The sequence below is a fragment of the Homo sapiens genome, chromosome 9 (assembly GCF_000001405.40).
Source record: "Homo sapiens chromosome 9, GRCh38.p14 Primary Assembly".
Lineage (NCBI taxonomy): Eukaryota > Metazoa > Chordata > Mammalia > Primates > Hominidae > Homo > Homo sapiens.
The window spans coordinates 4701466-4727056 of NC_000009.12; the positions used below are offsets into that span (position 1 = coordinate 4701466).

The 25591-nt window shown below is 38.8% G+C and overlaps 2 protein-coding genes and 1 long non-coding RNA gene across 7 annotated transcripts in view; 1 reads left to right on the forward strand and 2 right to left on the reverse strand.

Moving 5' to 3' along the window:
• The window catches only part of CDC37L1 (cell division cycle 37 like 1, HSP90 cochaperone), a 28831-nt gene extending 21897 nt beyond the window's left edge, over nt 1–6934 (forward strand). The window contains exons 6-7 of the mRNA NM_017913.4: nt 399–563; nt 4546–6934. Of these exons, the coding sequence (NP_060383.2) occupies nt 399–563; nt 4546–4647 (267 nt within the window). The 3' untranslated portion in view covers nt 4648–6934. The remainder of the gene's footprint in view (nt 1–398; nt 564–4545) is intronic.
• AK3 (adenylate kinase 3) overlaps nt 8091–25591 on the reverse strand; it is a 32488-nt gene continuing 14987 nt past the window's right edge. For 3 of the 5 annotated variants that reach the window (NM_001199853.2, NM_001199855.2, NM_016282.4), the window contains exons 2-5: nt 21041–21160; nt 17670–17842; nt 16954–17072; nt 8091–11631 (exon numbers count right to left, since the gene is read on the reverse strand). In NM_001199853.2, coding sequence (NP_001186782.1) covers nt 11511–11631; nt 16954–17072; nt 17670–17842; nt 21041–21101 — 474 coding nt within the window. In that variant the 5' untranslated portion in view covers nt 21102–21160 and the 3' untranslated portion in view covers nt 8091–11510. Of the gene's footprint in view, nt 11632–16953; nt 17073–17669; nt 17843–21040; nt 21161–24617; nt 24763–25591 lie in introns of those variants that run through there. The other 2 variants (NM_001199856.2, NM_001199852.2) reach the window with 2 other exon arrangements.
• Nucleotides 15609–16947, reverse strand: LOC124902112 (uncharacterized). The gene is made up of 2 exons (XR_007061401.1): nt 16791–16947; nt 15609–15817 (listed from the first exon to the last, which is right to left on the reverse strand). It is a non-coding gene; the product is annotated as an uncharacterized LOC124902112 (long non-coding RNA).

The following is a 25591-nucleotide window of genomic DNA, read 5'->3' on the forward strand; positions in this document are numbered from 1 at the left end:
TTTAAGAATATCCCTTGATTGTTTGGTAGTAGGAAGAAGATAGAATGAATTGGACAGATTAAATGACTATTTTGGATCCTGTTAAGGATCTAGATAAGTCAAGGAAAATACAGAGAAAGCCTTCTTTTCTTTTAGTTGTGTGCATATGCATAGGGAGGGGTTGTTTTTTATTAGCTTATTTTGCTGAAGCAGAAGGAAATGGAGCAAACCAATTATTAATGTTCCTATAAATCAGGTAGTTTTCACAAATGTGACAGGGATCGTGGTGGTTTCTATATTTAGACTATTCACCTTGTCATTACTTCCTCCACTTCAAACCTGTTATATGCTTTCTGGAATTTACTATGTCTAGAAATCTTGAAGAACACAGTCTTTGTTTTTTTTTTTGTTTTTTCTAGGCAGAGGAAGAAGGTTATTTTGAAGCATTCAAAAATGAACTTGAAGCTTTCAAGTCAAGAGTAAGACTTTATTCTCAATCACAAAGTTTTCAACCTATGACAGTTCAGAATCATGTTCCCCATTCTGGTGTTGGATCTATAGGTTTATTAGAATCCTTACCACAGGTAAGTTGGAAAAGTAAATATTTGTTTTATAAGCCTATTAATTCACATAATTTTTGTTATTTTGCCCCACTCTTTTTTTTTTTTAATATGTGCTACTATTTTAAATATTCCTGCCTCAGAAGATAACTGTTGAATCTTACTTCATGCCATGTTTTGGTGCTGAATCTCACCTCTTAAGTATTTAGAGATACCAGATTTCCTCTCCTTTTAATGTAGTAGTGATTAGTTATACCTAACCATTCTTAAGAACAAATCTTAGCTATTGATCATCTCAATCATAAACTCTTCAAGATGGCTCCCTCAGGAGCTTCCTTAAAACATCTCATCCTGAGTTAAAACTATGCCATTTTGAATTTTTTAGGATGATTAGCTTCAAAGTGGACATGCACATGGAACCAGTGTGATCTGTTGCTTAAGTTTATTTAGTATTTTCTTGTTAAATGTTGGGTCTACCAGATATAACATTTTTAGAACACATTAATGTAGCTGATAATATTGTATCTGGTAATACTGGCCAACTGTTTGAGCCTCTTTGAAGTCTTCAGTGGTTTGATCAAGATAAAACCATGTCGGCTGGGCGCAGTGGCTCGCGCCTGTAATCCCAGCACTTTGGAAGGCCGAGACAGGCAGATCACGAGGTCAGGAGATCGAGACCATCCTGGCTAACAAGGTGAAACCCCGTCTCTTCTAAAAAAAAAAAATACAAAAAAATTAGCCGGGCGTGGTGGCAGGCACCTGCAGTCCCAGCTACTCGGGAGGCTGAGGCAGGAGAATGGCGTGAACCCGGGAGGCAGAGCTTGCAGTGAGCCGAGATCGAGCCACTGCACTCCAGCCTGGGCGACAGAGCAAGACTCCGTCTCAAAAAAAAAAAAAAAAAAAAAAAAATCATGTCATATAGGCAGCATGAAAAAATTTACATCAAAAAGGAGACATGATCAGACCACTGGTCTGCCTGATGCTAGTTAGGATTACAAGTTTAAGTTATTATTAGATAATTCCTACCCATTTGATTTTACTAGTAGCACTTTAATAGAGCCCAGTCATCTCTCATTTCCAGGCTCCAAGATTTTAAGACCAGCTTTAGCCAGTTTAATCTGTTGTCTACATTGTGAGAAGGAAAGTCTTATTCAAAAGACAATGTGAGGAGAGTCCTATATTTAGTTTTAAACCTCATAAAGTGCTAAAAATTGGGATTTTCAGTGGCTTGACCTTATCTCACTGTAATTTCACCATTCCAATTACATGTATGTCCTTTAAGGAAAGTGATTGATCATATTTACCCCAGTCAAAAATATTATTATCAGGAGTCTCTGAGCCTACTCTGGCTGAAAAAAAAAAAAAAAAGTCTCAAGGATGGAAATAATTAATGTTTGATTTTTAAATAATTAGTAATGTTCCCCCTTAGTTAGACATGTAAAGAATATTCCCTCTACAAATTCCTACAGATTATCTCTTAATTTTATTTAAATTCAGTGATGATTTTTCTCTTCAGTTCCTAAGAAATAGCCCATAGGGAAGTAGTTTTTCCAGGGGAATTCTGTGACCAAGTCACTGTGAAATCCAATATATAAACCTCCTGCAATTAAAATGTCACATAATGCATGGGAAGGAGAAAAGAGACTTTGGAAGGATGTAACTGATTCTAAATATAAGAGGGAAAGATACACATTATAGTATCTTAAGCCTATATTATCAAGAAGTTGCCTCTGGTTTGAGAGAAGTAAGTCCTTGTTGTTATTAGATAGCAACTATATATTAGATAGCAACTGATATCAGGTGCTAGGCATCCCTTATAGTCATGGGGGGACTAGAATTATACAATTCTGACACTTCTGTATTGCTGATATTATCAGGGTTATTCAGATTTAATTAAGCTGGGCTAATCTCCTCATGGTGGGAGACCAATTCCTTATGGTAAGTAATTTGAGCATCCTGATGTGGTCCTTCTGAAGGATACAAGGGCTGGAGAAAATTTCAGTTAGATGCTTGCTACATGTGCGGAAAGGATTATCGACTAGTTGAGGGAAGTAAAATGAGAGGCCACCTGAAAGACCAAATCATCAGTTTAGAGGTTTGGAAGAAAAATCTTACCATAATAATAACATCCCATTTTTATATCAGTTTATATGTTGTAAAGCACTTTCACACATATTATTTAATTTTCTCAAACACCCTGTGATTCATTTTCATTCATTTTTATAGATGAGTAAACTGAAATTCATAGAACTTAAGAAATTTGCCTGAGGTCAACACAATAAGTGATGAATCTAATATTCTACTTTTGGATTTCTATTATGCTTCACTGCTTATTCACCTATACCACAGACTGTGAATCATATGTGTTGAGAATGTTACTAGATGAAAATATGGGACAGTCAATGAAATCTAAGTGTAGGTTAGGTCGGGTATACCGATTCCTTCTTATTTTTTAAAGTCTCTGTATGATAGTATCTTACAGTTCTTAGGAAGATGGGTGGATGAGTTTTGGAGAATCTCCTCAGCCAATTCTGTTATTAAAAGTTGTGCCATGGAAAACTGGAGCCCAGTCTTAATAGAGTAATTGTAAGCTCTGTTCCAGAGAATTAGGCTTGGATTGTTAGAAAAAGGTCTTAAAGCTGTTTTTTTGGAGAATGAGACAATGTAACAATAATATTGGTCATTTTTGATAAAGCTTAAGTGTGGGTAACCATTTAGCTTTTCATTTCTTTTTTTTAATAATTGACAGCAATCGTGTGAAATAAGCCAAATACCATTCATTATCCTTAGTTTTGAGAGGTCTAATCCAAGGCCTCTTGGATATAGAAATAATAACAGTTAACTTTAGGTTTATCCTGTAGACTAGTTTTTAATTTTACTAAATTGTGAATTTTGTTCTCCTTGAGGCTTGCTTTACTAAATAGAGGCAGGATTAAAACTGAAGCCCAGTGTGAGTGTCCCAGACCTCAGTCAGTTGTCCCTGCTACTTCCTTCATAAAGACCTGATTGGGAATAATCCGAACTCCAGCTAGCTTTTTGACTTTTAGAATAAAGGAATCTCACAAAGTGTTGTACTTTCTTAGGAGGATCTTTAGAAAACCCTGCCTCCCAACCTCCTATTGGATGGTGAGGTTTAAGACATCTATCCTGTTTGACTACTGTCCTCACTGGTGTTTATTAAATAAAATAAATATAAGTAAAACTAGTAATACAAGTGGTAAAAGTCTTAAGTAACTAGCAGATATTCGGAACAATTGAGTAGACAAAATTGAATTGGGGAAGAATTTTCTAAAGTTCTGGGTCTTAAGGGCTATACCCTTATTCATGGTGCTTTAATAATGGTTTTATTTTTGCATTTATTGAGTAAGATTTTATGTTTTCTATTCCCAGTTTTTGAAATTGACAAGCATAACATTTATGAGTTTATGCTTGTTTAACAAATCCTGTTGTTTTATTCTCAGTTTAAAAAATAAGGGTGTAAATACATCTCAAAAGTGTACAGATTTCTCACTGAGTTTGTTTTAACCTTTGGGAAACCACAATAGACCCTGAAGATATCCATAATTTTTACCCAGTAAATTTTTTCTTTATTTAGATGATTTGCAGTTTTAGTATTTACTGTTGTAATTAGATGGTAATCTTAAAAATGCATTGCTAACTTCAAACCATATTTAAATTATCAGTAGCTATGTATATATAATCACATGGAGGTTGTAGCCTTGCCTTGTATGATTAAACAGAGAAGAAAGGTGGTATTTGTTAACATTTCTGTTTTTTACATGTATCATTCTTTTATCACATCTCATAGGTGATAGCATCCTATTTTTTTCTTTATTTTCTTGGGATTCAGCCCAAGTCTGTCTCCAAAGTCCATCTTCTTTCCTACTGCTCTACTACACTGCAGAGAAATAGGACGGTGAAACTGAATATATATGTATGTACTGTCATAAAACTGGTTATAATGCGTTCTTTTTCTCCCCCCAATCTACCTTTTCTTTTTCCCCAGAATCCAGATTATCTTCAGTATTCTATCAGTACAGCTCTCTGCAGCTTAAACTCGGTGGTACATAAAGAAGATGATGAACCCAAAATGATGGACACTGTATAATTTGGTTAAGACTGCTGAGGCCAAGTGCTATTTTGTTACAAGAAAGGAAGAACTTGGCTATTTTCTTGACACTTTTATGGGTGCTGCACTTTATTTTTGTTCGGTTTTTGATGGGAGGGAAAGAGTACTGAAATGTTTTGTAAATTTTTTTTAATGTGCTGCTAGGTTTTTTGTTTTGTTTTGTTCTGAAGAGAAGAGTGGTACCATATGTTGCAGGAAGTCAAACTGGACTTTTTGTGGCTACTAAATTTGCTTTTAATCTTATTGTTCTCAATTTTGGAATCAAGTATGAAAATCTGCACAAATGCAATGTTTACAAGAACTGGTTGATTCTGGGAGGCATCTGCTACAGTCTCTTTTTATATGGATATGTACATGTCCTATTCTACAAAAATGATTAAAGATAAAAACATACTTGTATCCCACTGCTACTTTAGCTGTCAAATTTGGTGTTTCATCACATTAAAAGCAATAAATCAGTAGTTGGTAATGTACTTTACTAAATAAGTTGGGGGGTACAATTTTTAAAAGTCTTAACTCTTAAATACTTGACTTTCGGCACCATCAGTTAAATCCTTGACTATAATACAAATTTGATATATACATTACATTTACCCTCAAATTATTCTCAAAACTATATTCCTTAGAATTTGATTTTACCCTGCTGACTTTAAGAGTTATAATAATATCAAATGTGATGAGCTAATATAGATTTTCTTTTTAAATAAGAATAACTTCAAGCTCACTCTTTCTTAACATAGTCTGGGATCTCTCAGGGAGTAAGTTTTAAAAGAATACTAATGGCTTGTAAGAACAAACAGGAATAATAATCTGATTTTTAAATTTGTAGTTATTTTACTCATGTTGCCTTTTAATTTTTGTTATTTTGGTTTATTTTTTGATGTAGCCTTTTAAAAAAGGAGTCTTAAAAATGATTTTTTTTTTAAAGGCAAGAGAAATCTTGTAGTGCTAACTGCCTTGAGCTGCCAATTACCTATTTCTGAGAATTTGGTGACTCTTATTGGTAATGATGGCATTTACAACATTTGGCATTTCCCCTTTTTCAGCTCAGTTACCATAGAATACTTCCAAGCTTTACTACTTCCTCTGTAAGTCATTTCAGTTATGCCAGGATATTTGATGATTTTGTTTATGTAGAATTAGGTAACAAAGCCAATTATGCTATCCTTATTATTGAAGGATTAATCTTATGACTTAACATAAGCTTTGGTTATATTTGGGTGTAGTCTTTGGCTAAGTACCCATTAAGGCTAGTAGCAAACACTTGGAAGGTGGCTAACTGGGACTGGGAATACGTGTCTCAACTTGAGAAACCAAATAGTGCGAAGGGACTCAGGGTGGCCAGACCTGTGACCTTGGCCTCATTTGTATCTTGTTTTCGCTGAGGTGATCAGACACTTAGTACCCTAGAAATGGACTGGAATTATTGAATCTTCTTCTGTAACATCACAATCTTCCTGGTTTTCAGAATAAACGTTTTTGTGCTTTTGATATAAATATATACTCTATAATAAAATGTTTGACTAATTTATATAGTAGTGTTTGTCAGCCTGTACTTTTTTTTTTTTTAAACCCATGACCTAGTCGTAGACATTTTTTTCTTTTTGTTCTGTTCTGAAGCAAGCTCTTATTTTTCCCTTTCTACCAAATTGAGAGAATGGGCAGACACAGGAGCCATATTCCTAGTTTCACAGAAATGTTACTTGAATTATTATTTTCCCTTCTTTCCCAGGATTTGCCTGTAAGCATTCAAATTGTTTTGAATTTCATTTTGCCTTCTCTAAGTTAGAGGTATTTAATGACTGAAGACTGGCAGGAGAGAAAGTATCAACAAACTGAGTAAACTATTCTTGAGGGGCACTGAAAAGATGTTCTTTGAAACTTGATTTATATATTTTTACTTGCAAAAGAATATACTGTGTTTTGAGTATGAAAGTGTGATTGGGTCTGTTGTGGGAACCACTGACTGATGCCATAATTTGCACTTAAAGGCTATAAATTACATAGTTAGCCGTACTTTAGTACTAGAAACAGTAAATTGACATCCTTGAACTAATTCCTACCTTTTTTTTGTTTCTGAAGAAATAAAGAGTATATTAAGCAAAGGGATAATTTATATTTCAGGTTGGACAATTTACCCTAAACAAATTAAACCATGGAAAGTGCAAACACATGAATGAAACATTTTTTTACATCAAAGTATCATCAAAGATTCTTGTTTCATTTGATAAAATTAATATTTGAATAAAAAAATTTTTAAATCAAATAGCTGTCCATTTATTCTCTGTTAACTCAGTGTCATTTTTTCAGTGGTAGTGAAGATAATACTGCCTTAAAATTATTACTCTTAGGTAGATGGGTAACATTCTCTTCCAATTATACCATTAGTGAGCTCTTTCAAATTTTGCCTAATGAGCTCACAATCTCTTATAACTTCTCTTTAGGAAAATCAGGTCCTCCTCTTCTTTCAGACTGGCATATCATATTATTACCCTTTTAAAAATGAATGAACAGCCGGGCGCAGTAGCTTACGCCTGTAATCCCGGCACTTTGGGAGGCCGAGGCGGGTGGATCCTGAGGTCAGGAGATCGAGACCATCCTGGCCAACATGGTGAAACCCTGTCTCTACCCAAAATACAAAAATTAGCTGGGCATGGTGGCGCGTGGCTGTAGTCCCAGTTACTCAGGAGGCTGAGGCAGGAGAATCGCTTGAACCCCGGGAGGCAGAGGTTGCAGTGAGCCAAGATGGCGCCACTGCACTCCAGCCTGGCAACATCTAAAAATGAAAATGAACATGCTGCCCAAAGAACATGAATCTGTTTTAGTAAGTGGATTTTCTAACAGGATGAAAAAAGTTGACTGTAGGTTTAGGCAAGGTGATCCTGAAGTTAACCTTTGGGTATTTTCAGAGGAGAACGAAATGTCAGTTTACTTTTCTAAGTCAATCATGTATTTCAGTTCTTAAATTGGTGTGGGACAGAACCGAGGTACTTGTCTGGGTTGAGGTTGGGCTTTCCATTTCATGGGCTTTCCATTTCAATTTTGCCATTATAGCAAACATACTTTTAACAAAACCCTTAAATCCATCCATCTCTCATCTGTAATGGACATGTATATACAATTGCATAGTTCTGAGAAGTTGATTTATCTGAAAATTATTTGCTCACTATGTGAGCCAAGGGGGTCGGGAGGGGGACACAGGGTGAATATAAGTTCATTATGGATTGTTCACCATCTAATATGAAGTGAAACCATTCTCATAAGCTTTGAAGAATTAGACTTGTTTGATCTCTAAATATAGAAAATGATTATTAAAATTCCCACATCTTTCACACAGTTAACAGCATGATTCTTCATGTTATTTACACATCAGACATTTAACTTGGAATGCTTTAGAAAAAGATGACACAGTGCTGGACTGATTTACACTTAGGCATGACAGTTTATTCAGTGCTATATATGGAAAAATCAGTGTTTATATTATTTAGTGAGCTAAAAACAAATAAAAAGCAGGAGGGGGATAAGGGCTCTACAAAGCATACTGGCTTTTACCAGAAGCTTTAAGCACAGCTACACTATTTTAACTGTTTAAAAATTTTTTAACCATAACTTCCAAGATGAAAATCTTTAACTGCAAAGATAGAAAAGCTATTTCTACAGTTTATCAGGGCCTGAGGATTTATTTTTATTTTTATTTTTATTTTTTGGTCAATGAGAAGACACAACATATTCTAAAATACAAATTCTTGCTGTTGGTTGCAACTATAGCAATTTAACATAATTTGAGATCTATAATTACAATGATTTGTTGTTAGTATAGGGCAGTTTTGTCACAAGTTATGAGGATCCAAAATATCTTGCTAGAATGCCATTATATATAGCTGGGGGAAAAGTAGCCATAGGGTGGGGTTTAGAGATTTGAGCCAGTATTTAAACTATTTGAAATGGAACTGACAGAAATTTCTGGATGGTGCTAACAACTGCTAGTTTGCATTTCCCACAGTACACGCTGCTTACAAAAGGTATAGCAAAATAACTTTTACTCTATAAAATAAATCAGTTGAGGTGCTGTTCTCCCTGGCTTTTTTTTTTGAGACGGAGTCTCCCTCTGTCGCCCAGGCTGGAGTGCAGTGGCACGATCTCAGCTCACTGCAACCTCCGCCTCCCGGATTCACACCATTCTCCTGCCTCAACCTCCCGAGTAGCTGGGACTACAGGCGCCCGCCACCATGCCCGGCTAATTTTTTTTTTTTTTTTTTGTATTTTTAGTAGAGACGGGGTTTCACCGTGTTAGCCAGGATGGTCTCGATCTCCTGACCTCGTGATCCGCCCGCCTCGGCCTCCCAAAGTGCTGGGATTACAGGCGTGAGCCACCGCGCCCGGCCTCTCATTGGCTTTTAACAAAAGTATAGTAGTTTCTCCTAGCCATGGCATTCAGCTCCATACATGTATTTCCATGTGGTACATAAATCTTAATGATGGTCATTACAGAATTATTTTTTTGGGTGGGGGCAGTGGCTTACACCTGTAATCTCAGCACTTGGGAAGCTGAATCAGGAAGACTGTTTGAGGCCAGGAGACTAGCCTGGGCAACATATCGAGACGCCGTCTCTACAAAAAAATAAAATTAGCCAGGCATGGTGGTACATACCTGTAGTTTCAGCTACTTGGGAGGCTGAGGTAGAAGAATTGCGTGAGCCCAGGAGTTCAACGTTACAGTGACCCAATTATGCCACTGCACTCTAGTCTGGGCAACAGAGTGAGGCCCTGTCTAAAAAAAAATAAAGAAAAAAGTTGTATTACAGTCATATTCATTCCTAAAGTAATGAATGTATGTGCAAAACTTTGGGCTAAGTGTTTGCGGGTGGGGAGGGAATGGTCACAGGAAATAAGAGTCTTAATTCTCATAGCCATGTTCTTCCACTGCTCACTTTGATTTCCAAATCCCCTAAGGGTATTATGAAGGCCGGTATGGCTACCATAGCAGGAGATGAAGTATTGCATAAACTGAAACCAGCCTATGGACTGTTTTAAGATCATTTATTAGAACAGTCATTCAGAAGCCATTGAGACATCAGGCAGCAGAAAGGAAGGTGGGATGGAGCAGGCCCTGTGAAGGACCAAGAACAAAGTAATAGCCACAGTTATGAAATTTCATTTTATTCTGATAAAGACTAATATATGCTTGATAACCTAGTGATAATCCATAAGTTTGGTATTTCACAACATTTTTTAGAAAGCACATAAGATTAACATTCAAATAAGGCATTATAGAAAGTTTTATAAAGAATGAAGTGTTTCCTATATTTCTTTTAAAAAACCTTGGTTCATCTTGAAAGATCGATGAATTTTTTAAATATCAGAAGAAAAGGGAAATAAAATTTTCCCCCCAAAACACATAAGAACCACTTACTGGCACTTGTATTTTAAGTACCTGGGAAAAAAACGGAACAGATTTTTAAAGGCAATAACGACTTGTAAGACGGCTTGTTTCATTTGATTTGGCACGAAGTAAAGTAAGAGTAAATATGCCATGGAAGACATAATCAAGTTTTTCCTCCATCTCTCATATTTCCCCACTTCTACCAGACCACACAGTACATCAGCAACCATCCTTTAGATTCCAATTTTTAAATGGCTGCTCAGACGACACCAATAGAGTTCTTTCTCCTTAAAATATGGTGGCAGTGAATGCTAACAGGTATCAATTTCTTTGATCAGGAACAAAGAACTCCTTCAGGAAACTCACTTTCCTGGTCCTTGTTAACCTATCATGTAAATTCTTTTTATTGGTACACCTGTTTACTAATTATGATTGATTGCTATTTATGCCAAGGGAGCATTTCCCAGGCATGCCTCATCTATTTACTAACAACAAAGTATGCTTACTTTATTTACATAGTGCCACGGGTTTCTCTTTTTTCTTCTCTTTTTTATTGGCGGGGGAGATGGTACTATAACTTGTTATTTATCAGGGCAGATCACACATTTGGATCAAAAAGAAAAACCAGCAAGTAGATCCTAAAACACATTTCTTAACCTGAGTCATAACTGAAAACATAGACTTTAATTACATTTTGTTGAAAATTCATTCAACTTTGGTGCTTGTAAAAGCACTTATGTCAATTTTTGACACAAATCATAACCCTCAGTACACAGGTATTTTCAAAGGAAACAAGTCATCTTAAAGTAATATTTTTCTATATGCTAATTGATACATCTTTATAGCAAATTGAAAATTCTGAGTAAACTGAAAGTATGCTTAACGACAAAATAAATACAGCATATATGGTTAACATATACATTTCTTAGTGTAAAGGCAGCAGTGAATTTGTGTCTCACAATAAATCTGTAAATCCAGTTGCTTTCTTTCTGGAATTTTATATAGTGTCTCACCATGTTCCACAATGCTGGAAATGTCTTTTTTGGCATCAATCTATGCACAAATTTCTGATTACGTATTTTCTCCAAATGACATGTAACTTTTTTTAACTTTTCCAGAAAAATATGGAAACTTTATCAACCACTTATTAACTGAACAAAAAGTTAGATTACTACCAAATGCTCTTTTAATTTTGCTCTAACAGATGTTTTAAAGGTTCAGACATCGCTGATGTTTTTGAGGATAACTGCATACAACACACTAGATGATTTCAAACGATGCATCTTAGTATCCGAATCATTTGGCACATCCTTAGTATCCAAAATAAAATCAGTAGAAATAAAAGTAATATAATTTTCAAAGAATTCATACATACTAGAAGTCTTAGGAAAAGCAGCTTCTAAATGCAAGGACTAGGAGGTTTGCCCATCTTACTATTAATAGTTACACACATTTCTCCTCATGGAGTAACTGAAGCTTTCTGGCTTCTTTGTGGAACTTTAGTTTGTAGGAAAGCATATACATAGGGCCAAATCTTGTTGGTTTCTGTTCCGGAGAATGTTTCCAGCACCCCTTTTTTCCTAAAGATGAAACAAAAACAAAACAAACACACACAGGTCTGAGTCTTCCTAATAAGCTCTTTCAAAGCCTTTCTGTAAATAATGATATTGTAGATATAGGAGTCTTGGTAAGTATAGATTTGTGTAATCAGGAGAGAAAGGCACTTGGCTGGGCATTGGAAAATGTACATTTTGGTTTCAGTTGTGCTCTCTGGCTTACAAAAATGGGTGCTTAAAAAAATAACAGCACCTATCATTTATTTTATTTATTGAACATGCACTGTGTGTCAAAGGCTGTGCTACATGCTTTACATATTATAGTTTGTTTAATCCTTTCCAAAGCTCAAATTTTCTTATTTTACTAATAAAATCATCCCTTTGTAATGTAACTTAGCCCAAATCACCAAGTTGGTAGTACATTTCCAAACAGGACCTATAAGATACCAGAACACCCATCAGCCTTTTTTTTCTACTTACTCTTTTGCAAAAGCTACTTTCTAATACTTGAGTATCTTTCCTTTTTGCCCAGGCCAACATTTATGTTCTCCTCTATTCCACTCTTCTGAATATTAACAGAAAGGGGAATAAAAAGTGTTGGTTTTATTGGGTTTCCTATTGACTGTCTTCATTTCTTCCCAGGCAGATTTGTCTAGCTTGTCACTAGACCAGCAGCCAAAGTCTATTTTATTTACTCCAGTTTCCTGTGGATAACATGGTGAAGAGTGAGATCAGAATCCTGGGGGTGCTTTTCAAGCCACACAGATTCCCTCCAAAGATTCTGGCCTTCCTCTTGCTAATACCCGTCCTCTAGCCCATGCGTACACCTACGCCTACACATATACACCTCCACATATACACACCTCCACATATACACGCCTACACATATACACACCTCCACATTTACACACCTACACATATACGCCTACACATATACACCTACACATATACAGCTACACATATACATCTACACATATACACCTACACATATACACACCTACACATATACACACCTACACATATACACACCTACACATATACACACCTCCACATATACACACCTACACATATACACACCTCCACATACACACACCTCCACACATACGCCTCCACATACACACACCTCCACATATACACCTCCACACATTCGCCTCCACACATACACACTGGTGTAAAGACTGCATAAGGACAACCTAAGAACTCTGGTTTATGACTTTGTGAAAAGAGGATTCCTTATACCTGTGTGGCCCTTCTTCCGAGGTTTTCAGGGCTTTCACTAAGGACAAAAGCATTCTTCCCTTGATACCTCATAAAATTTGCCACAGTTAACTTAAATAACACCCACTGTTTTCTCGGTAAGAAACATCTGCTAAGGAAGGAAATTATGCAAATACAGCATTCTTGGGATATTAGAAACCCTCCTGCTTCTAAATTCACTGGCACCTGGTACTGCTTTCAAGGGAACAAGCTTCTTAACTGTTGTAAGCCTCTTGAAGAGCCGATTTAAAAATCAAGCCAGTGTCACAAGTGGGTTAATTACTGAGGGCACAATTGCAGGCACCTATTCGATCCTAAATCGTGGGTGAACATTTGTCATTTTAATTTCTGTGTAATAAAATGGAACCAGCTTCAACAATTGGTCCTCCAAAGAGTAAGGGCATCATGTTGTTTGTAAACATAGACCAGTTACTCTATAATGTCCCACAGCTAAAAGGTTTTTTTTAAAACAACCAACAATACAACTGTCAGCATTTCTAAATAACAATGCTGACTATTACTAACATTCTTGCAAATAAACTTTCAGTTTTTAGTCAAGTCTCGCTGAGTTCTACGTGTGGGAGCTGAGAATGAAAAGACTGAATTCGGCCGGGTGTGGTGGCTCAAGTCTGTAATCCCAGCACTTTGGGAGGCCAAGGAGGGTGGATCACTTGAGGTCAGGAGTTCAAGACCAGCCTGGCCAACATGGCGAAACCCCGTCTCTACTAAAAATACAAAAATTAGCAGGACATGGTGGCACGTGCCTGTAGTCCTAGCTACTGGGGAGGCTGAGGCATAAGAATCGCTTGAACCTGGGATGAGGAGGCTGCAGTGAGCTGGGATGGCACCACTGCACTCCAACCTGAGAGAGAGTGAGACTCCGTCTCAAAAAAAAAAAAAAAAAAAAGAAAGAAGGAAAGAAAAAGAAAAGAAAAGCTTGAATTAACAGCAAAAGGCAGCAAAAGCCAGAAGGAGCCTAGAAAGACTTCTAAAATATCTCCTAAGACAGGGGCCCGTGTCTTTCACTTCATCTTCGCAGCTTTCCTTAACTTCCCTTACTACTTTTTTTTTTTTTTTTTTTAAGACAGGGTCTCACTCTGACACCCGCGCTCTAGACTGCAGTGGAGCAATCATAGATCACTGCAGTCTTGACCCACTGGGTCCAAGCAATCTTCTTACCTCAGACTCCCCAGTAGCTGGGACTATAGGCATGTGCCACCATGCCTGGCTAATATTTTTTTTTATGTTTTGTAGAGACAGAGTTTCACCATGTTGCCCAGGCTGATCTTGAATTCCTGCCTTTTCGATCCTCCTGCCTTAGCCTCCCAAAGTGCTGGGATTACAGGCATGAGCCACTGTCCCAGGCCCCTTCCCATATTTTGATATTTTGACAGAACGAATCCCAACAACCCCTGGTACTTCACTGCTTTGGGGGATTATCATTCATAGCCTTGCAGTGGTGGTGTTATCTGCCCAGCAACAATGCATTCTCCCTTCCTCTGGTTACCTTTGGGAAATAACCTCTCCACCAAACTCAGTCGACGAGGTTCAGGAGAGACTGTCCCCACTCCCCATCTTCAAGGATGGACATGATCAGAGCTAATCGGTGCCGACCCCAAGACTTTTGCTGGCAAAAGAGGCTCTTTGCTGCTGGGGTTTCTGGCTGGTAGGAGGTAAACTGGAAAGCTGAGGGGCTGCTACACAGGGAGGGCACACCTGAGACTGAAGCCAGCACAGGACAATGGAGCGGAGTGACTGACGCCTGATGATAGGTGTTTTTGAACACCTGGACCCATCCATCTATCTTTGACTTTTCAGTTACATTACCAATAAATTCCCCTTTTGCTTAACCTGGTGTGAATTAGGTTCTTAGTTAATATAAGCACATATCATATTGTATGATAAATACTGTTTACCCAGCTCCCCACCTCACCCACAAACATAGCTTCTTGGAGCCTGACAGGGACTGGATCTAATTGTCCATGTGGACCAAGGGCCTAGCACAGTGTCAAGAGAGTGAACAATAATTGCTGACAATGAATGATTTAATAGACACCAGGGCTGTTGTAGGACTTTCCAGGATCTCTCACTTAATTCTTTTAACAACCCTATAAAGCAGATGCTATTTAATATTGCCTGATTTTACAAATAAGGGATTTGTGGCATGGAGGTTAAATAGCTTGCCTAGGGCAAAAGAGACGGTAATTTTCAGAACCAGCCTCATTAAACAAATGACAAAATTATAGTAACAGCTACTACAAAAAATGGTTTGCCAACCTTGTAATTTTATGCTCCAGAAAAAATTAAGATGGTTTGAAAGGCCAGGCATGGTGGCTCGTACCTGTAATCCCAATGTTTTGGGAGGCCGAGGCAGGAGGGTTGCCTGAAGCCAGGAGTTTGAGTAGCCCGTGCAACATGGCAAGAGCCCCAGCTCTAAAAAAAATTTTTTTAATTGGCCAGGTCTGGTGGCACGGGCCTATAGTCCTGGCTACTTGGGAGGCTGAGACAGGAGAATTGCTTGAGCCCAGGAATTCAAGGCTGTAGTGAACTATGAAAGAACCACTGCACTCCAACCTGGGTGACAGAGTGAGACCCTGTCTCTAAAATAAATAAATAAATAACAGTTTGGAAACTATTGCTTCAGATTTCTACTGCATACATACGCTATTACAACAACAATAACAATAGCTAACATTTCTATAGTGCTTTCTATGCGTCAGGCCCAGTTCTAAGAGTTACCCATATTAATCTTTCAAACCTTTATTCTCTTCCCCAATTTACAGAGGAAAAAACAGGCAGAGGTTAAGCAGAAGGTGAAGGTGAAGATGGTGAGCTGGGACTTGAACTTAGGTATTCTGGCTCCAGAGTCTGTGTTCTGCCCAAGATACTGTTCTGCCCTGATCAGGATCAGTATTCAATAAGTACATAAATGAAAGGGGAGGCAGTCAATCCTCTGTAAGAAGCAGGAAGGCTCAGTAAGAAAACTGGAGTATTTCTTAGCCTAAGTCAAATACTCATTCAGTACGGTTCCTATACGTGTTGCAGACAAAACAAGAGCAGACAAAACAATGTTAAAATGTAAGCTTTTAAAGACTGCTAGCCAATTACATAGTCTGAGGGATTAGCTGCCATCTGAGATTCTTCCACACCATAGCATCCTGTATTGGCAAATGTGGTGGGCAATATTAAGTTTGCCTCCCCAGCATTCATTCCAGCCCTGCCTCCCCTACCGACAATCCCCAGCTTACAATTATTCAATGCAGGATTTTTCAGCTTTATGATGGTGCGAAAGCAACATGCATTCAATAGAAATTGTACCTCGAGCACCTGTACAACCATCCTGCTTTTCAATTTCAGTACAATATTCAGTAAATTATGTGAGATATTCAACACTTTATTACAAAACAGGCTTTGTGTTAGATGATTTCGCCCAACTGTAGGCTAATCTAAGTGTTCTGAGCATGTTTAAGGCAGGCTAAGTTATGGTGCTTGGTATTTTCAAATTACAATGGATTTATTAGGATGTAATTTCATTGTAAATTGCGGAACATCTGCACATAGCAGAGTATGGATGAGACTGTCGCACTGCCAACTCTAGAAGTGGACTAGTCAGTGTAATCAGTGGAATCCTTCCCACCCCAATGACTGGTTCTGCAGTAGGCAGTAACCCAAGCCTGTAACAGTTAGTGCCAGGCATTCCCTGACTGTAGTTCAAGTTGGCTCCATCCGAGTGGTGCTCTGGGCTTCTATTCACTGGAGGAAAGGTTACCCCTCAGCCCTTCATAGAAGAGGAAGCCCTGGCTGTTCCTACAAATGTCTGCTACCATGCAGGAAGCCTAAGGACAAAGCCAATACACACACAGGAAGGCAAAACCAAGAGAACGGCTACACTGATCAAACCCAGGTGTGACTGAAGCCCAACCTACCTTCTGGACTTCTGTTACACAAGCTAATGTATTTCCTTTATTACTTAAGCCCATGTGAACTGGGTCTTTTGGCATTTTAGCATTTCAGCTGTAGAGGAAGGAAAATCAAAACTAGACTTAGTGCACCACTACGCAAGAGAAGTTCTGAAAAGCAAAAACTCACTGGTAATATTCCAGGACTGGCTTTGTTTGGTCTTCATAAGCCTTTAGTCTCTTGATAACCGTCTCTGGTTTATCATCCTCACGCTGAATGAGAGGCTCCCCAGTCAGGTCATCAATGCCCTAAACAGGATTAGAAGAGACTAGTATCAGATATCATATTTCTGAAAGATATTTTCATAAGCAGTTCAATTATTTTTAAACAGACATCTCTGTGCAAGTGCCAAGCACAAAAATGTGCTAACTTTTAAAAAAATGGAATCCAACCTCAAAAGAGATCATCGCAACAGAAACAGGGTACGCCAGTTTCATTTCTACAGTTATCAGTCACTTTAGCCTTAGAGTAAAAGGTTTTCTAAGCAGCCTCTAAGTAAGTTCATATATATTCAAAAAGATTCAGCTATAAACTTGGAATTTCAACTGCAAGTCCTAAATAAACCAAGGTGTTATGAATCTCTATCAGCGCAACTCCTAACACACTCCTTGGCAGAGCAGGAAATCAACAAATGTTTTTGAATGAGTAACAAACCCCTGCTGCTCCTGGGGCAACCTTTCGCACCAAGCTCAGTGGACTTGATCAGTCAACTCTACCAAGTAACCTGAGAATATACCCTCAGGAGTTTTGGTCAGAGGATTTCCAAGTTCACTCAACTTATGTCTGTTAGGGCAAGAGGACTCAGGGACAGTCTGCTATGTGACAGTTCCACAACAACTACTCACCACAGTTTTGGGAGGGTTGAATTCAATGTTATAGACTCGGCCACTGGCGGGATGAATCCAGCGAGCAGTAAGGCGTTGTTTAATGACCTCAAAGGGCACATTCAGGTTAATCACTGTGTCGATCTGATAAGCTCTATCTAGGGCTTCTGCCTGTGGAAGTGTCCTTGGAAAACCTTTATAAAGTAAAAAAGAAAAAGAAGAAGAAAAAAGAAAGGAAGTATGGGGTGGGGGTGGGGCGGGTGGAGAAAGAAGAAAGAAAAAGAAAGAATTAATGTTGGACAATCTGAACAAAAGGAATGAGGCTCACCAGGCAGGCCGATCACAGCTGCGGTGCAACTGTGATGGTTACCTGTCAACTTGACTGGGGCATGAGTGCCCAGATATTTGGCAAATATTATGCTGGGTATATCTGTCAGGCTGCTTTTGTTATGAAATTATCATGTAAATAGGCAGACTGATAAAGTACATTGCCCTTCTTAATATGGGTGGGCCTTATCTAATCAATTTTAAGGCCTGAGTAGAACAAAAGGCTGACCCTCACCCAAATAACAAAGAATTCCTCCTGCCTGCTACCTCTAACTGGGACACAGGACTTTTCCCGCCTTTAAACTCAAACTGAACTCATGATCTTCACCCAAATCCAGGGACTGGCCGGGCGCAGTGGCTCACACCTGTAATCCCAGCATTTTGGGAGGCTGAGGAGGGCGGATCACCTGAGCTCAGGAGTTCAAGACCAGCCTAGCCAACATGGTGAAATCCCATCTCTACAAAAATACAAAAATTAGCCTGGCATGATGGCAGGTCCCTGTAATCCCAGCTAGTTGGGAGGCGAGGTGGGAGAATCGCTTGAACCCGGGAGGGGAGGTTGTAGTGAACCAAAATTCTACACCAGTGCACTCCAGCCTGGGTGACAGAGCAAGACTCCTCAAAAACAAACAAACAAACACTCCAGAGGCTATTTCTGAAATATGACAAAATGAAACTAAAGTCCAGCTAAAGGAAAACTATTAATGCAAAAGGATAAAACCCTAACAGACAAAGAGATGTGTTATATAGCTAAACAATGTGGTTCAAAAACAGAGAGACAGGCAAATGTACCTAATGAGTGAATTCAGAAATACACCCAAGTATATTAGGGAATTTAAAATAATACTTTGATCACAAACTTCTGACTTTGCAATGTTGTTACTAAGGACATTTTGTCCAGAATACCAGAAAAAAATTAAAATTAGTAGAAATAATATATTTTCAAAAATGACAAAAGTTAGGCCACACATGGTGGCTCACACCTGTAATCTCAGCACTTTGAGAGGCTGAGGCGGGAGGACTGCTTGAGCCCAGGAGTTTGAGACCAGCCTGGGCAACATAGCAAGACCCCTTCTCTATAAATAACAACGACAACAAAATTAGCAGGGCGTGGTGGTGCATGCCTATGGTCCCAGCTACTCAGGAGGCTGAGGCAGGAGGATTGCCTGAGCTCAGGAGGTCAAGGCTGCAATAAGCCATGATGACTCCATTGCACTGCAGCCTGGTGACAGAGCAAGACACTGTCTCCAAAAAAAAAAAAGTGACAAAGGTTAAAACCGCACATGCATAATTTGTTAGAGCAAAAATATCATCTGAAAAATTACATTTTCTTGTTAACAATGAAATGTGGAAAAATTTGCCAGTGATCTAGACCTTACAATGTGCTAAAATGACAATGATAACGACTAAAACTATACCCAGGAAACCTGGATTCGGGAGAAATAATGGCCCTTTCCTGGGCAGCATCACCAGCCTACCTTGGTTTACCTTGTTCCTGCTGCCAAAGATAACCTGTCTCTCCACCCATGTAATCCTACTCATTCCTCAAGACCTCCCACAAATGGGAATGTTTTTCAGCCCCTTACACCTCATAAAGAAGCAAGACTTTTCATTAAACTTTTTAAAACAAAATTTTGAATTCTGAACCATGCAACATATTTTGTTTTAAAAAGGAGAAGATGCCAGGTGCGATGGCTCATACTTGCAATCCCAGCACTTTTGGAGGCTGAGGTGGGCAGATCACTTGAGGCCAGGAGTTTGAGACCAGTCTGGCCAACATAGTGAAACCCTATCTCTACTAAAAATACAAAAATTAGCCACGTGTGCTGGTGGGCACCTGTAATCCCAGCTACTCAGGAGGCTGAGGCAGGAGAATCACTTGAACTGAGGAGGAAGAGGTTGCAGTGAGAGGAGATCGCACCATCACACTCCAGCCTGGGCAACAGAGCCAGACACTGTCTCCATTAAAAAAAAAAAAAAAGTGCCTACTCCTCAACTACATTACTCTCTGTTCACATCAACTTCTTTTTTTTTTCTGAGACAGAATCTCACTCTGTCACCCAGGCTGGAGTGCAGTGGGGCAATCTCGGTTCACCGCAGCCTCTGCCTCCCAGTTCAAGCAATTCCCCTGTCTCAGCCTCCCGAGTAGCTAGGGTTACAGGTGTGCGCCATCACGCCCGGCTAATTTTTGTATTTTTAGTAGAGATGGAGTTTCACCATGTTGGCCAGGCTGGTCTTGAACTCCTGACCTCAGGTGATCCGCCCACCTTGGCCTCCCAAAGTGCTGGAATTAAAGGCGTGAGCCACTGCCTCTGGCCCACATCAACTTCTAATTTACCTCTTAGCACTTATATCTGTGCTTATCCAAGTTTTTGTTTACTTGTTTACTACTTGTCTTCTACTAGAATGTACTTTCCACAAGGACAAGACTTCAGAACCTTCTTAGATAAAGCAAGCAAGTCAGGGCTGCAGGGCTTGGCAAGGGCAACACTGAGTGCACGCGTGCCTGTGTGCGAAGGTGGGTGAATGGGGTTGAGTAGGAGAGAAGACTAGATTAGCTATCCTCTTCCAAAAAAGGATATTATGACTCAGATCTTCTTGAAGAAAAGGCTTATCCCAAGTTTATCCCAGTTTTAGTGAGAGCTGAGGACTCAACTGAAACAAATCTCTTTTGTGTCCTCTCTATATTAACAAAACTAAAAATCAACCTACCCTCAAGGATTCGGCCATACTCCTGGCTAGGGAAAGTTTACAGCTTATTGTAAATTACTCTTGGGTCTTGCTTCTTCTGTGGTGATCCTCCCATATCACAAAATATTCTCAAAGAAAGGGGAAAGGAACTAAAGTTACATCTGAAGGGAGCTTAGAAATCATGCACTTCACTTCCCTCTTTCCATTTGGATATAGAACTGGTCCCAGAGAAGATGACTGGTTTCAGGATAGTCCCAAGCACCCCTCTCCCCAAACCACCATCCTTGACGTCTGTCTGAAGCCCATGAAATGCTCATTCTCCTGCCAGCACTGATTATTTTGGGCAGGTGAAATGCTCATGAGACTCCACTTACCATCCAACAGCCAGCTATACTGGGTGAGATTTTTCAGCTCATGAAGGGCCAGCCGAGTCATGACATCATCTGGGATGAGTTTCCCTTGGTCAATGAAAGCCTTGGCTAACACGCCAATTTCTACAGCAAAGCGGGGAAAAAAATCAGTAAGTGCATTTGTTTTATCCCATTCCAGGCACCTCGGAACGAGTTGCCTAAAGGGGAAGTCTGAATGGCATACTCATCTGAAAATGTGCATCATCAACTTTTCTGATAAAAACAAAGGTTATGGCCGGGAACAGTGGTTCATACCTGTAACCCCAGCACTTTGGGAGGCCCAGGCGGGTAGATCACCTGAGGACAGGAGTTCAAGACTAGCCCGGCCAACATGGTGAAACCCAGTCTCTACAGAAATAAAAAAATTAGCCGGACATGATGGCGGGTGCCTGTAATCCCAGCTACTTGGGGGTAGCTTGAACCCAGGTGGGAGACGGGGGAATCGCTTGAACCCAGGAGGCAGAGGTTGCAGTGAGCCGAGATCGTGCCATTGCACTTCAGCCTGGGCAACAGAGTGAGACTCCGTCTCAAAAACAAAAACAAAAACAAAGGTTACAAAATAATCTAAACTTCAGATTCTTCATTATGGAAAAATATATAAATGTAAATATATAGACAGAAAAAATATTGTAAAGGTATAGACCAATATGTTAACAGTAGTTATTTCTGTGTGATAGAATTGAGTGGTTTTGAAAATATATATGTACTTTTCTGTATTTTCTACCAGAAAAAATTATGAAATAGCTGAAATTATTTTCTTTAAAAATAAGAATCTGAAATCATCATTATTTTGAAATGATTCAGTTTAAATGCCTGCTATCATGTTATTGGAGAGACTTTTCCAATCCTGTAAAACAGGTGCTGCTATCGTGACACAATTCAGTTTTTAACCAGATTAGTATTGTGATTATGTTATATTTTTATTAACAAAACACTCTGGAAAATGATTTATGAACAATTTAATAATATTACCTACAACTATATGTCACTCTTATGCAATAGTATTTTAATTTCTTCATGTTCCCTTACCAAACTATTTCTACACCTTCAGAACCGTAATTCCATCATAATCTGCGTATCTACAATTTTATGTTCTTTTTGTCACTTAGCATTATTTAATAAATACTTTTCGGTGGTTTTATATAGTCATTTTAGGTAACCATATTACACTCCAAATATAAGATATTTCGAAATAAATATATAAAACTACACTTTATGACAGCAGTACTGCTGGACATTTAAATTGTGTAAATTAGTCTTGATTTTTCCTCATCACCAAAGACTCTTGTTCTTTTGCTTTTATTTTACTCCTCTTTGGGATTATTTCCAATAAATAAATTCCCAGATGTCAGATTAAAGGGTCAAGGTATATATGAACATTTTCCTAACTGTTGGTATGAATTGCCATACTGACCCCAAAACAGATTCTAAATTGTCAGATTCATGAAACTTTAGATTTTTAACCAAGAACAGATTCTAAATTGTCAGATTCATGAAACTTCAGATTTTTAACCAAGAACAGTAACTGCATGGACACGGGCTGTCATGTGGCACGTGTGCTGCTGGATTTGCAGACTGCACTTAGAAGAGGGCTTGGCAGATGGAGAGCTCAGGACTCACTAAAACAGCCTTATACTTAATGTGTGAACTTCTCTGTCTACAGGCTTTTGACTACTGCTCTGGGGAGGGACAGCTTCAACCTCATCAACAGCATTTGGAAAAAAAAATGTAAAAACACGCAATTCTCTAGGGCCAAGTCCCAAAAACACCTGTTATTGGCCTCTCCCCTCACCTCTCACTCTTCAGGCCAAGCCCTCTTCTAAATCCGAACCAGCTGCAGCAGATGGGTTAGAAGATGGGGTTAATTAATAAAGTACTTAATTTTATCAGTATATGAATAGCTGTAAGAAAAGATTGTCTGCCCTTGCCACTTCTATACAATATTAGAGATTCTAGCCAAGGCAATTAGTCCAGAAAAAGAAATAGAAAGCATCCAGAAAAAAAGAAGTAAAACTATGTCTAAAGCCAACGGTTTGAGACCAGCTTAGGCAACATGGTGAGACCCCATCTCTACAAAAGATTAAAAAATTAGCTGGGTGTGGTGGCTCATGGCTGTAGTCTCAGCTACTCAGGAGACTGAGGTGGGAAGATTGCTTGAGCCCAAGAGGTCAAGGCTACAGTGAGCCATGATCATGCTACTGCACTCCCGCCTGGGCAACGGAGTGAGACCCTGTTTCAAAAAGAAAAAAAAAAAAATCATAGAATTGAAAGTCCAGAAATAACCTTTCAAATTTATAGTAAACTGATTTTTAATAGGATGCCAAAATAAATGAATGAAGAAAAAGTAGTCTTTTTAACAAATGCTCCTGGGACAAATAAATATCCAGATGAAAAGGAATGAAGTTAGACCTCTACCATGCATAAAAATTAACTCAATATAGGTCATAAACCTAAATGTAAGTGCTAAAGCTACTAAACTCTTTTTTTTTTTTTTTTTTGAGATGGAGTCTCACTCTTGTCACCCAGGCTAAAGTGCAATGATGTAATCTTGGCTCACTGCAACCTCCCCCCTCCCAGGTTCAAGTGATTCTCCTGCCTCAGCCTCCCAAGTAGCTGGGATTACAGGTGCCCACCACCATGCCCAGCTAATTTTTGTATTTTTAGTAGAGACAGGGTTTCACCATGTTGGCCAGGCTCGAAATCCTGACCTCGTGATCTGCCCGCCTCGGCCTCCCAAAGTGCTGGGATTACAGGTGTGAGCCACTGCGTCCAGCCTAAAAACTCTTAATAGAAAACACAGGTATAAATCTTCATCACTATGCATTAGGCAATGGTTTCTAGATAAAAAACCAAGAGCACAACTAACAAAGGAAAAAAATAGATACATTAGACTTCATTAAAATTAAAAACTTTTTGTGCTTCAAAGAACATCATTAAGAAAGTGAGGCCGGGTGCAGTGGCTCCTGCCTGTAATCCCAGCACTTTGGGAGGCTGAGGTGGGCAGATCACCTGAGGTCAGGAGTTCGAGACCAGCCTGGCCAACATGGTGAAACCCCATCTCTTAAAAAAGAAACGAAAAGAAAAGAAGTGAAAAGACAATGCATAGCATGGGATGGAAGAAAAATTTTGCAAATCATGTAGCTGGTAAGGAATTTGTATCTAGAATATCTAAAGAACTCTTACAACTCAATTTTAAAAAAATGTTAAACGGGCATAGGATCTGAATACACATTTCTTCAACGATATACAAATGGCCAATAAGCCCATGAACACATGATCAACGTCCTTAATCATTAGGGAAGTCAAATGAAAACCACAAGGAGATACTACTTCACATTCACGAACATGGTTATAGTCAAAAAGACACATACAGGCCTACCCTGGAGATATTGTGGGTTTGGTTCCAGACTACCACAATAAAGTGAATATGTGAGTCACACAAATTTTTTGGTTTCTCGGTGCATATAAAAGTTATATATTTACATTACATTGTAGTCTATTAAGTGCAATAGCATTATGTCTAAAATAACAATGTACCTACCTTAATTTAAAATAGTTTTATTGCTAAAAAATGTTAATGATCATCTGAGCCTTCAGAGAGTCTTAATCTTTTTGCTGATGGAGGGTCTTGCCTCCATGGCTGATGGCTGCTGACTGATCAGGATGGAGGTTGCTAAATGATGAGGTGGCTGTGCAATTGCATAAAATAAGACAACAGTAAAGTCTGTCTCATCAACTGACTCTTCTTTTCACCAAAAACTTCTCTGTAGCATGCAGTGTTGTGTGATAGTATTTTATCCACAGTAGAACTTCTTTCAAAACTGTAGTCTATCCTCTCAGACCCGCTGCTCCTTTTTCAACTAAGTTTAAGTCATATTCTAAATCCCTCGTTGCCAGTTGAATAATGCTCACAGCATCTTCACCAGGACTAGATTCTACCTCAAGAAACCACGTTCTTTGCTCATTCATTAAAAGCAACTCCTCATCCATTCAAGTTTTATGAGATTGCAGCAATCCAGTTACATCTTCAGGCTGCACTTCTAATTCTAGTTCTCTTGCTATTTCCACCATATGTGTAGTTACTTCCTACACTGAAGGCTTGAACCCCTTAAAGTCATCCATGAGGGTTGGAATCAACTTCTTCCAAACTCCTGTTAATGTTGACACTTTGACCTTCTTCCTGAATCATGAGTGTTCTTCCTGGCATCTAGAATGGCGCATCCTTTCCCTAAGTTTTTCTATTTACTTTGCCCAAATCCATCAGAGGAATCACTATCTATATAGCAGCTGAACCTTATGAAATGTGTTTTTTAAATAACAAAACTTGAGAGTTGAAATTACTCCTTGATGCGTGGGCTACAGAATGGATGTTGTGTCAGCAGGCATGAAAACAACATGAATTTCCGTGTACATCTCCAGCAGAGCTTTTGGGTGACCAGGTGCATTGTCAATGAGCAGTAATACTTTCAAACGAATCTTTTTCTCTCAACAATAGTTCTCAACAGTGGGCTTCAA